Genomic DNA, 13,481 nt, shown 5'->3' with positions numbered 1-13,481 from the left:
ACCTGTTTCTCAGTAGAGGAGTGGGTAAACTGTGCCTTATACAACACTGCTGTTAAAATGAAATTCAGCAAGATGTAAGAATGTATATGAATCTCAAAATAACATTATCCAAAAAAAGTTACAAAAGTATACGCATGTATGATACCACTTATGTAATTTAAAACACAGAACAACAGCCATAGATTATATAAGCTTGTGTGGAAATCATACATAATTGTTACCTCAGAGAAGGAAAAATAGGGAACTCAGAATGGAGCTTTAAATGTATCTGTAATTTATTTAAAAGAACCAACTAGCAGAAATTTTAACAAAATTTAACTTTCTTGATGAGTATGTGGTTGTTTCTATTATCTTTGTATCTCTCCTCCTCACCTTTTAAACAATTCCAAGCTTACAGAAAAATACAATTTAAATAACATTTTTTCTTAATCCTTTTGAAAATAATGCTGCATCAACAATAAATATTTTAGAATTTCTTCCAAACATATTCTTCAGTATAAACATCAAAAGAAGAAAATTAATATTAGTACCTGACTACTGTCTAATACTTAGGCTCCAATAAAATTTTTACAATTTTCAACTTTTTTTTTTAATTTGGAAAGATCCAGTCCAGAATCTCACATTGCATTTAGGTGTTATCATTTTAATCTTCTTGAATCTATATCATTTATTCATCCTTTCTTTTACTTTCGTGATTTTGACACTTTCGATGATTACAGGTTAGTTATTTTGTAGAGGTTTTTGGAGAGTGTTTGTTTTTAATATAATTAAAAACAAAATCTCCTCCCAACCCAGAAAACTTCTCCATAAAGCTACATGGGGAAAAATAATTTTAGTTTTATTACTAAGTAAGTATTAAACAAGAGTGTGATTCTCATCACAGGCAATCTGCTAAGACATTGCAGAGGCAGAAGGAAATCTCACCCTTTTACACAGCAAGCAGCAACAATCTATTACATATATATTCTCCTATAAACAATAACTAGTTCTCAAGTAAGAGACCTTGACAGCACATTTGTCACACATAGTTCATCACAAATACACTTGGTAGTTAGGATAACCATCTGTGTTTGTTAATTGGCATTATCTAAAGGAAAAATGAACTTCTCCTATAATTATGACAGGAGGTGGTTTTACAACTTGGATTGAGATGCCTACTCACCAAAGTTAGGCTGCTACCCTCCCACAGAAACTGAGAGGTAGGTAGGTGCCATCTCCATTGATGATGACATTTCGGATATGGTCCCCAGGTCGTTGAGAAACACATTCGCGGGTCTGTAAGGCTAGAAGGGGACTTTTTTTAGTTTTTCATAAATCTTATGTATATTTCAGAGATAGGGAAAAGACTTACAAGCTTTCTAAAGTAAATGTTTTAAGAAAAGGGAGTAGTCTCTTTGCTTATTTTCCGTGGGGAGCTTTTTCTTTTCTTTTGATTTTTACTTACTTTCATAAATGTTACTCAATTTGGATGTGTTTAATGTTTCCTTATTACTAGACTCAGATTCTGCACCTTTGGCAGGAGTAACATGGAAGTAATTTCATTTTCTCATTTAATCCTATTAGTTGGTACCTGATTTCATTGTGTCTCACTACTGGTGATGTTAATTTTGATCGTTTGATTAGAGCGATTTGTGATAGGCTTTTTCATTTTAGAATTATTTCTGCACTGCCTTTAAAATGAATAATAATTTTGTGGAAAATGTACCTTAAGAGAAGACTTATTCCTTATCACATTTTCAGTGTATATACATATTTATTTTAGTCAGTAGGGGCTTATAGTTTTCTGTTTTTATTCAGTGGGCTATAATTCATTAATACAACTATTTATTTTGATCCTCAATTATTTCTGGTTTGACCAGAGGAAGTCCCTTCAAATTGGCTTATGTTTCCTTCTAACATATCCCTATGTTGTTGGATGAATTCCTTACTTTCTAGCAAAAAATAATGTTCGAAAGTCATGTTGTACTTTTTCTGTTCCAACCCTGGAATCAGCAATTTCTCCAAGATGGTCTGGTTCTTTTTAGTGAAGAATTGTTCATAGAAACCAGTATCTGGATGCTAAACATGCTTGATACCATTTGTCTCTCACTGTTTCCTGTCTATTCAGTAGACACACCTAGGAAGGTGGTATGTGTGCAGCTATATATTTATATATCTATATTGAAATTATGAATTCACACTATTGTCTCCAGTTCAAATCCAATAACAGAAGGTACATTTTTGTTTTTAACATTTCTGTATTTTGTAATTATTTTTCTGATAGTGAGAAATCTATACACCACATGCTTCATAAACCTAATTTTGTGATGGGACTTCTTGTATTTAACAAATTCCTTATCACCACACGACTTCCTGTCCCCACTACTCCACCACGTAGAATCCCTGCTCAAGCTGGGCCACGGCTGCCAACTCCCCATTTGTATACCTTCATACTTACATGAAGTTCAGAATCATGTGTTAGGCAATCCTCTTCCATGGGACCCCCTCATCCAGCTAAGGCTGCTAGGCCCACTCCTGGAGTGCCCTCTATATTAGACATCCTCTCACCAAACTCGGGTTATTATTTTCCAAGGGAAGGTAAGTGAAATCCAAATAGAAAGGAGAGAGAGTTATTACATTTTTAAAATATTAAAATCCAACCACATAAAAAATACAACAGAAATTAATTTACTGGCATCATCCCATTACCCAACTACTCTCAGGTCACTAGGAAGACTCATAGGACTCAATATATGTGTAGCATACATGTAGTTCATGATTGTAATTTATTATAGGGAAATATTGTCTACCAAGGAAGCTAATTAAAGTTTCAGCACCCAGGATTTTTACTGGGAACTGGTCATATAGGCAGCCTCTGTCTAGCAAGTACTGAAATTCTAGACTTCCAGAAGGAAAGCAGATATTCTCCATAAACCATGTTGTATAAACAATTTAGTTCCAGTAAGCCACTCTTCATTTCTGGGACTTATGAGAACACTCCTAAATGTAAGTTCCAAGATTTTAGCCAATTTTGTACACAGGTTTTTGAATAATAGCAGTTAGACCTGCATGTTATGTTAACATTTTTTTTTGCACAATCATTGACCTTTGTTTGTCTTTAGTTGTAAATTATAACTTAATTGGCCTCTTTCATAAATTGTACATTTATTTTCCAAATGTCACCCCCATTAGATCAAGATATGGAACATTTCTAGCATGCCCAAATGTAGTGATTATTGAAACTTCTATTATTCGAATGAGCTGTAACTGTTTTTTATCTTTATGCAAATGAAATTATACAATATGTACTTGATATGGTTAGGCTGTGTTTCCACCCAAATCTCATCTTGAACTGTAGTTTCTATAATCCCCATGTGTTGGGGGGAGAGACCAGGTAGAGATAATTGAATCATGGAGGCACTTTCCCCCATCATGTTCTTGTGAAAGTGAGTGAGTTCTCAAGAGACCTGATGGTTTTATAAGGGGCTTTTCCCCTTTTGCTCTGCACTTCTTTTTGCTGCCACCATGTGAAGAAGGACATGTTTGCTTCCTTTTCTGCTGTGAGTATAAGTTTACTGAGCCCTCTCCAGCCATGCAGAACTGTGAGTCAATTAAACTTCTTTCCTTTATAAATTACCCAGTCTTGGTATATCTTTATTAGCAGCACGAGAATGGACAAATATAGTAAATTGGTACTGGTAGAGTGGGGTGCTGCTATGAGGATACCTGAAAAAGTGGAAGTGACTTTGGAACTAGGTAACAGGCAGAGGTTGGAACTGTTTGGAGGGCTCAGAAGAAGATAGAAAAATATAGGAAAGTTTAGAACTTCCTAGGGACTTGTTGAATGGCTTTGACCAAAATGTTGATAGTGATATGGACAATAAAGTCCAGGCTTGGGTGATCTCAGATGGAGATGAGGAACTTGTTGGGAACTGGAGCAAAGGTGACTCTTATTTATGCTTTAGCAAAGAGACAGGCAAGATTTTGCTCCTGTCTTGGAGATCTATGGAAGTTGAACTTGAGAGAGATGATTTAGGGTATCTGGCAGAAGAAATGTCTAAGCAGCAAAGCATTCAAGAGGAAGCTGAGCATAAAAGTTCAGAAAATTTGCAGGCTGAAGATGCAGTAGAAAAGCAAAAAAAAAAAAAAAAAAAAAAAAACATTATCTGGGGAGAAATTCCAGTATGCTGCAGAAATCTGCATAAGTAACAACGAGCCAAATGTTAATCACCAAGACAATGGGGAAAATGTCTCCAGGGTATGTCAGAGAACTTCACAGCAGCCCCTCCTACCACAGGTCCAGAGGCCTAGGAGGAAATAATGGTTTCATGGGCTGGGCCCAGGTCCCCCCTGCTGTGTGCATCCTTGGCTTAAAGAGCCGAGGTACAGCTCAGGACATTGCTTCAAAGGGTGCAAACCCCAAGCCTTGGCAGCTTAAACATGGTGTTGAGCCTGAAGGTACACAGAAGTCAAGAATTGAGGTTTGGGGACCTCCACCTGGATTTCAGGGTATGTATGGAAATATCTTCATGTCCAGGCAAAAGTTTGCTGCAGGAGCAGGGCCCTCATGTAGAATCTCTGCTAGGGCAGTACAGAACGGAAATCTGGGGTCAGAGCCCCCATATACAGTCCTCACTGGAGCACTGTCTAGTGGAGCTGTGAGAAGAGGGCCACTGTCCTCCAGACCCCAGAATGGTAGATCCACTGACAGCTTGTACTGTGTGCCTGGAAAAGTCACAGACATTCAATGCCAGCCCATGAAAGCAACTGGGAGGGTGGCTGTACTCTGTAAAGCCACATGGATGGTACTGACCAAGGTGCGGATACCCACCTCTTGCATCAGTGTGCCCTGAATGTGAGACATGGAGTCAAAAGAGATCATTTTGGAACATTAAGCTTTAATGACTGCCCTGTTGGATTTCAGACTTGCATGGGGCCTGTAGCCCCTTGGTTTTGGCTAATCTCTCCCATTTGGAAAGGATGTATTTACCCAATGTCTGTACTCCAGGTGTATCTAAGGAGTAACTAACTAGCTTTTGACTTTACAGGCTCCTAGGCATAAGGGACACACCTTGTCTCAGATGAAACTTTGGACTGTAGACTTTTGAGTTGATTCTGGAATGAGCTAAGGCTTTGGGAGACTGTTGGAAGGGCATGATTGTGCTTTGAAACGTGAGGACATGCGATTTGGGAGAGGCCAGGGGAGAGTGATGTGGTTTGGCTGTGTTCCCCACCAAATCTCATCTTGAATTGTGCTCCCATAATTCTCACATGTTGTGGGAGGAACCTGGTGGGAGCTAATTGAATAGTGGGGATGGTTTCCCCTATACTATTCTCATGGTAGTGAATAAGTCTCATGAGATCTGATGATTTTATCAGAGGTTTCTGCTTTTGCATCTTCCTCATTCTCTCTTTGCCTGCTGCCATCCATGTAAGACGAGACTTGCTCCTCCTTGCCTTCTGCCATGAATGTGAGGCTTCCCCAGCCACCTGGAACTGCAAGTCCAATTAAACCTCTTCCTTTTGTAAATTGCCCAGTCTCAGGTATGTCTTTATCAGCAGCATGAAAACGGACTAATACATGACCTTTACTTCTATGACATGATTCCTGTCCCTAAGACTTGGACTTTCTGGGAAGTCAAGTGAACTGTGTTGTCCACTATAGTGTCTTCACACTGGCATGATTTGTACTTCATCTTTCAGCACTGAGTGGACTCTGAAATCTTGGCTCAGATATTTGGGTTTTCATTCTGTAGCTCCCTCCTCACAGAACTTGGCACCAAATCCCATCTCTCTTGGTAGTCCCTTTTTCTTCAACCATGTGACATTGATGCTGTCTGTTGTTTTCTAAATCCCTGGACAGCACTTTAAAAGAAATGCCTTTAGGAATAAATCCTTGGTGAAATGGGGCTCACCTCTTGTGTTCTCTTTTTCAAGGATCACAGCCATGTTAGTTTCATTCCAGTACTGCCTACACAGCACTGTAATTTCACAGATTTTTATCAGCTTTTAGAGTTATTATTGGTGGGAAAGCAGGTCCTATATTAGCTTTTCTATCATAACCAGGAATGCAAAAATAAAAATAATTCCTGTTATTATAACAAACTATTACAGTTTTTAAATTATAATCAGGATTTGGATGTATGTCAACAATTTTTTGTTGGTTCTAAGAAGGGAGTTTAATGTTGTTGTTTTTGTTTTTATATCTCCTACCATCTCACCTTATACAATTTCTTACTTGTAACACAAGACAAGAAATTAAATGATGGAGATAATGTCCAAGAAATAGTAGGTTACAGTAATGTTTGATATCAGTTAGCAGACCTACATTCATCACATGTATTAAATTTGGAAAAACAGTAGCAAAGGGACTAAAAATTTTAAATAAACACTTTCAGACCTTGCATTTTTAGAAAACACTTTTTAAACAGAAACTTGATGTCAGACGTGTTAAATTAAATTTATCATTTAATTTAGAGATATGGAAATATCTCATGTAAATCTTAAGTGAAAAATTATATTATTTCTGTGAAAAATATTCACTTGAACTTTGCAATTATTAATGTTGGAGATATGCTGATGATTAAAAGATTTTATTGGCATCCTTTAATGTTAGGATAATAAAAGTCATAGAAGTAGTCTTGGTGATATAAAGGGAACAGGGAAGTCACCTACTGATAACATTTCATTCAGTAAGTGATTCCGAGCATTCAGCTTTTAGATTTGCACCTTGCAGTCACTTGAGGAATCCTCTTCAATTTTTATATTGCTTCATGCTTTTCAAGATGCTGACTTGAATCTGATTTCCCCATATAATGCACTCAATAGTACTTATTTTAACTTCCGGTGTCACGCAAAGTGAATCTAACCTTCTTGTACTCAACAATTGCTCAAGAATTTAGAAGATACCTATCATTGTCACTAAACTTCCTTCCTGCCTGATAAGCAGGCCCATATCATTAAATCAGTCATAATTTGCTGGTTTAGATGCTACTATCTTCCTGGCCTGTCTTTTTTGAATATGCCACCTGGTTTTGGTATTTCTTTTAAATTTTATACACAAGTACAGTCTGTATAGCATAGAGAACTTTAGAATATTTGCTTATATATTCTTGAAGACTATTTCTATTAATGAAACTAATATAATACATTCCAGAGTAGTTTTACAGTATTGTTTACTCTTATTGTACTTATATTTAACTAGACAATTCAATAATTTTACATTTACTGCTGCTATATTATAGGGCCCAAGTGCCTTTTACAACTTTTTGTATGTTCTATCTAGTTATTTTTGGTTCACTATTCCAACTTCTGATTGCATTTTAAATCTATTATTAACAAATTCATCATCTCCTCTTTACTTCTGCCAACTTCCTGTTGACTGGCAAGGTTTTGCCAGCAATGTTTATCTAAAAATCACCAGTAAACTATTGCATAACGTGTTCAAAAGAAGAACCCATGGCAACCCACCAGCCTTGTTGATCAGTATTATTAATGATTTTAATTAAAATAATAACATGATTAGAGCTACTATTTATTCTGCTCCCACTCTGTCAGGCATTATGTGTGCCTACATTTTTTAATTCATGTTCAATAAAAATTATTATTGAATTACTTTTATGTACAATCTTGTAGCAACACCACAAAATATGTATTGTATTTTGTCCATGATTTACTTGAAACGTAAAGTTGCTCAGCTATCAAGTGTAGGAGCCAGAATTTGGACCCTGTTAATATTCTCTAAAATTCAAGCTTACATTATTATTTTGAACTGCTTCCCACAAATCATAGACTTTTGATTCTGATTCCTACCATGTAGTCTAACACGTTTCTGACTCTCAATTGGCAATGGACATTCTATGGAGCATATTTTCAAAGGCACTGATATGTGCAGTATTACTTCACAGACTCCTAAGTCATTTTTCCTTAATGTGTTTTCCATGGAACACTAGTCTCCATAATAATTTGTTAAAAATGAATTTATTTTTTTAATTCAAACACTAAATGAATGGGCAGTCAACAAAACATATCTCTTCCCTGTGGATTCTGAAACAATTGGGCAGGAGACTTGTGTCAAATAGAGAGCAAATATCTGACTTGTAATTGGTAAATCTTGATTGGAAAACACATCTTGGATCCAAGGCAAAAATTATGCCTTCTACACTTTAATTTTCAGCAGCTGCAAAAATTGTAGGCCTCTTCCCTTACTAGAACAGAGCATGGTGTGGAAAGCTTATTGAGTTTATGAGCGTGAATGCCAATAAAAAGCTTGGCTGTGTTCATTCATTTTTTTCTCCCTATAGCATCAGTTAAAGAAATCACTTATTTTTAGCAAAGGACAGGAACAAGTAAGAGTAGGAAGGGCCTGAAAGTATTACTCTTTTCTCTTGAAATGTTATTCTCTCTCTAGAGTAAGTGGGGAGTGGCATAAATGACATCCTTTTCTAAAAAGTCATTAATGTTTGCTTTCTTAAAAAAAGTTAAAAAGAAGAATTTAGTACATCTGTTTTTAAATTTTAAACCTAAAGCCTAATTGAATGAAAAGGTTGAAATAATACGCAGATAGACTGAACCATAGATGATGTCATGTAGTCTATCTTCCTGTGAGATATGTAAGAAATGCTGAAGGATGGAAAAAGTTCCACTGTGGCTTTCTCATGTCCATGGGTTTCTCATCCAGTCATTCCTCTCTACCCTTCTTCCACATAACCTTAGGTCCTAACTCTGTGTCTCAACTCCTTTTACTAAAATGCCCAACTAATATTTAAGAATAAATTTCTTAGAACTATTTATAACCAATTATCCACAGAGCTAGCTGAGTTTCATCTGAACCCTCTTGCTGAATCTCCATAAAACACTGGCTCCCTTCTCTCTCAAGCGAGAATCCTTCTTCAGCAGCTTTCAGTTCGTGATGGTGCTGTGGTTGATTTTCTTCCACAGATGCTGGAATCCATCCTACAATAATCCTGCCACACCATTTTGTGGCTGTAATCATCTATACATGTTAATGCAAATGAATATGCACATATGTATGTGATGAATATGCACGGATATATGTGATGAATATGCACATATATACGTGATGAATATGCACATATATACAAGTGTCAAGTGTTGCACCAGCTGTTCCTTCTGCAGCTCATTGCCTGGCTGACTTCTACTTAGGCTTTGTGTTTCAGTGTAAGTATCATTTCTTTGCTGGACAACTTTCCTACCATGGCCTCACGCCTTTTTGTATAGAAACAGGGACTAATTCCATTGAAATAGGAACTTACTTTCTTCGTATGAATTAACCAACCATCAAAAAACAACTATGCCAGGCACAGTATTAGACTTTGGAGCCACAGTGTTGTTTAAGGAGGTTCCTGTGTTGAGTTTACAGTGTATTAGCAAATTCACCATTTTTGGAAGCTAATATGTCAATTCATTTAACACTGTGTAACAATTATCATGCGCCAGAAAATACTTTTAGTATTTTAAAAAATACTAAAAATAAGCCAGGTGCCGTGGCTCACGCCTGTAATCCCAGCACTTTGGGAATCCGAGTGGGTGGATCACGAGGTCAGGAGTTCAAGACCAGCCTGGCCAAGAAGGTGAAACCATGTCTCTACTAAAAATACAAAAAATTAGCCGGGTGCAGTGGCAGGCGCCTGTAATCCCAGCTACTCGGGAGGCTGAGGCAGGAGAATCGCTTGAACTCAGAGGGCAGAGGTTGCAGAGAGCTGAGATTGTGCCACTGCACTCCAGCCTCCAGCCTGATGACAGAGTGAAACTCTGTCTCAAAAAAAAAAAAAAGAAAAAAACCTAGCTAATAATAACCCTGTGAGGTAGGTACTACTGGATATACCTAAGGGTAAGTATATTCCTATTTTACAGATTAGGAATCTGAGATGAGATACGCAGAGGTCAAGTGTCTCCTCTCGACCAGTAAGTGGTGGAGCCAAGATACAACAAAGGACTTCTGGCCTGAATTTGAACTTTAAAACACTATATTCTGTAGCCTGCTATGATCTAGAAACAAAAGATTCTTTATTTTTACTTATATGAGATCTAGGGCTTCTTCTACAAACACTATTTTAATAAATCTGGGATCTTAATTATCCATAAAAAGAACCTTGCAAATAAAACAGACCAATAGATCTTAATCTTATGACTGTTAAAACTATCCCTAGGAAATGCTGCTATCAAACATATGATAATTTTATATTTAAAACACAGACATGAAAGATTGTTCTTGTTTGTATTTAGTAGTGAACATTTAAAAATTCAATTTAACCAGAAAATATTTATAAGGTAATAAGTCAGCTTTAAATTTTAAAGAAAAACAATCCAATGGCTAGCTAATGAGCAAACCAAATGAAAATAATAAAACTATATTTGAAGGAAGAGTAAAAGCCAGTCTCTATGCAAAAATGTCCAGATATGCAAATTATGCTGTGAAGTGTGCTCGGCATGCTAGCACATGCTTACAAACCTGGATTTCCAAGATGAGTACCAAATGAAACTGTGATTGACTTTGAGCATAAGAGCCACACATAGTCTAATTTTCCTCTGTAAACACAACTCAAACTACACGATGGAGGTAACATAAATGAATTTAAATAACACTACTTTACAATATACAATGCCATGTATTCTAATGCAATTTCTGAAGAGAGAAATATTTATCACTTAAAATTGTCGGTTATTATTTATTTTCAGCCCGAACCAATAGTCAGTAGAACCCATCCTGCCTTAATAGAAAAGCTGTATTAATACACTAAAAAAACAACATTCGTTTTCCTAGCAATGCTTATTTCTCCTTGTGCCTCTCTCTTCTTTATGTATTTATTTATTCATTTATTTTGGACATATCTGAATGTGTTTGGTCTGTGGCTCTGTGAAGAGAGGTGTTCTAAGTTATTCATCCCTGATTCTTTCAGAGCTTGTTTAGGCAACTAAATACAAATTAGGTAAATGTTAAAGTCAATTTAAATCTTCTCCCTTTTTGTATCTGCCTTCTCTAATAAAACGTTTTTTAATCCAGGCATTCATACCTTTAGGAGACTAAAGAAAAGTACGTACATTAATTCATGCAGATTTGATAAATAATTATGGACTGATGCCTACTTCTTCCAAAGAACATTACGGCTTTCAAATGTCAATTGAATGCTTTAATGCAAAGCAAAAAGTTAGGGCTAATCAAACATGAATGTACAAAAACACCATCTAAGAAATGGTTTTAAAATGTGGACTCCAGAGCACCATCACTAGATAATTTGACTCCATAGATCCAGTATGTGGCTTAAGGAAATACATTTTAATATGTCCCCAAATGATTCTAATACAAATGACCCAATAGCTACACTGTAAAAACAGCTACAATAAATAAGGTGGATATTTCTGGCACTATGCAGAGGAAGGAGGTTGCAGATACAGTTTTAAATGAAACATCTTCTTTATCAAACTGATATATGATAATAACTTTTAACATTGTTACTAAAAGGTAAATTTAATGTTTATATCATATTTGTAATATAATTATGTAACAGCAGCAATATTCAGTTAGACATATTTCTGTCTATGATATTGGCATCAAATTTCAACTGTTGGATACAAAATAGATGTTAAAATGAAATAGTCTTTAAAAATCATTCATCACTTTGCACTCATTTACAAAAAATACTTTCGATATTTTTACAAAAAATATCAAAAAGCATTTTTGATATTGCTAAATCTTTAATTCTATAAATTATTTTAAAATGAAACCACTGAAATTTATTTTCTATGACAGTTTTCTACAACAAATAAGGGTAAGAGCAAATGTTATAAAATACTCCCAAGTAGATATATAAACATTTAGTAACAGCTGATTTGCCCATGCAGTTCATTTTCTCAAACGATGGTTTCCCTACATAGTTGAGGTACACCTTCTCAAGGTGTTGCCATGATAGGAGCACTGCCCTTGTCAGTGTCCCAATCTTCTGCTTATTGTCGCATCACATTTAAGGTGAATATTGTATGCCCCTACTTTGCACATAAATGAAAACGCAATGTTCAGAGCCCTGCTTGGAGGTCAGTAGAAAATAATAGACTTTATCTGCTCTACTTTTCAGATAGAGCACTGTCTTTGACATATTGGAAAAACTTAATGCCTCATATTTTATTTTTAAAAAATAGATTTTGTGTTTATGTTGTTAAAAAGCAAACATATCAAATATTTTAAGTAGTTTTTTGTAACACATTGTAATTCACATAAAAATGAATTTTGAAATCCTTGAAAAAATATAGCTAGCTTTAGCTTAGTTGTATCACTCATCTTTTTTTCTATTTAAGGACTTGGTTCTCTTGAATATAACTATCACAGAAGGTAAGCTAGCTGTGCCTAATTGGATGTTTTGCTTACTAAATGCTCCTTTTAAGTTAAGTTACATGTGTAAGATGGTGCATCAAGAGTATTCCAAAAATAATTTCTGTGTACAGTAATCAGTTATATAACTGGAACAATGACAATTTCTGTAAGTTTGATATCTTTTGAATGTAGTATCAGAAGCAAAGATTCTATGTCTCAAGAACACAGTACACACCTTAAGTAAAATAAATCTTTTTTTCTTAAGTTGAATTGGATTAAACCTATGAAATAAGCTTCTTAAATCTGTCACAAAATTAAGATCAAAGGTCTACTCAAAAAGATTTTGACATAGCATATACCTCTATAAAAATATTTAATGTGTATTAAACTTTAAATTTTGATAATTTTGAACTTAATCCGGTTAAGAGCATATTGAATTTTGAGAAAGTAGAAACTGAAGCATAATTTTAGCAGCTTATGTGAGGTAATAGTCCCTATTTATGTTTAAATTTGCCAAAAACTCCAATATTCATACTCTTGGGGCAATTAAAACAAGTTTAAATTGAATCTACCAATATTTTAAGACTTATAAATTATTGTGGATTAAAGAGAAGTGTTTTATAATGCTCATCAATTTTTAAATTTTTTGATAATTTAATATTTAGGAAGTAGTGTGTAATCTAGCAAAAAAATATGTACTTATACAAATAAAAATTAATGCCTGTCAGATTGTTGTAGTATACATGATTTATGCTTAAAGTAAGATAATAAATAGAATATGTGAGAAAACCATGGTACCTGAAACTCAGCTGAACTCTCTGTCAATCATCCACTTCTTCATCATTTCTCATGTCTTTCTCTAAAATTTTGAGCGCAATGAACAGATTTTCCTACACAGGGGAGAACAAGTCTTGGTAAAGCATATATGATTAAAATAATTAACAGTAAATATAAACAAACTTTAATTACTTCTCATTTTTCTGAGAGACATATCTAACATGAACTTTAAAAATGTAATATGGAATTCATCAAAGACAAATGTTTGCATTCAATGTTTCCTGGGATAAATTTTCATACAGATAAAATAAAATAAAAAATAAAACTTCAAATGCTATTTACAATATAAGTGACAATACATAATAAACCTATGGATTGAATAAAATGGCCCTGT

General features: G+C 35.0%; 1 long non-coding RNA gene across 1 annotated transcript in view; it reads right to left on the bottom strand.

Annotated features, from left to right (window-relative positions):
• Positions 1 to 13,481, bottom strand: part of LINC02770 (long intergenic non-protein coding RNA 2770) — a 278,575-nt gene that overhangs the window by 32,739 nt on the left and 232,355 nt on the right. Inside the window, exons 7-9 of the long non-coding RNA NR_186758.1 lie at positions 13,109 to 13,200; positions 2,438 to 2,551; positions 1,163 to 1,283 (exon numbers count right to left, since the gene is read on the bottom strand). This is a non-coding gene — a long non-coding RNA (long intergenic non-protein coding RNA 2770). The remainder of the gene's footprint in view (positions 1 to 1,162; positions 1,284 to 2,437; positions 2,552 to 13,108; positions 13,201 to 13,481) is intronic.

This window comes from Homo sapiens, chromosome 1 (assembly GCF_000001405.40).
Source record: "Homo sapiens chromosome 1, GRCh38.p14 Primary Assembly".
Lineage (NCBI taxonomy): Eukaryota > Metazoa > Chordata > Mammalia > Primates > Hominidae > Homo > Homo sapiens.
Note: the sequence above shows the minus strand (reverse complement) of the source record. Positions and strands in the feature narration are given on the sequence as shown.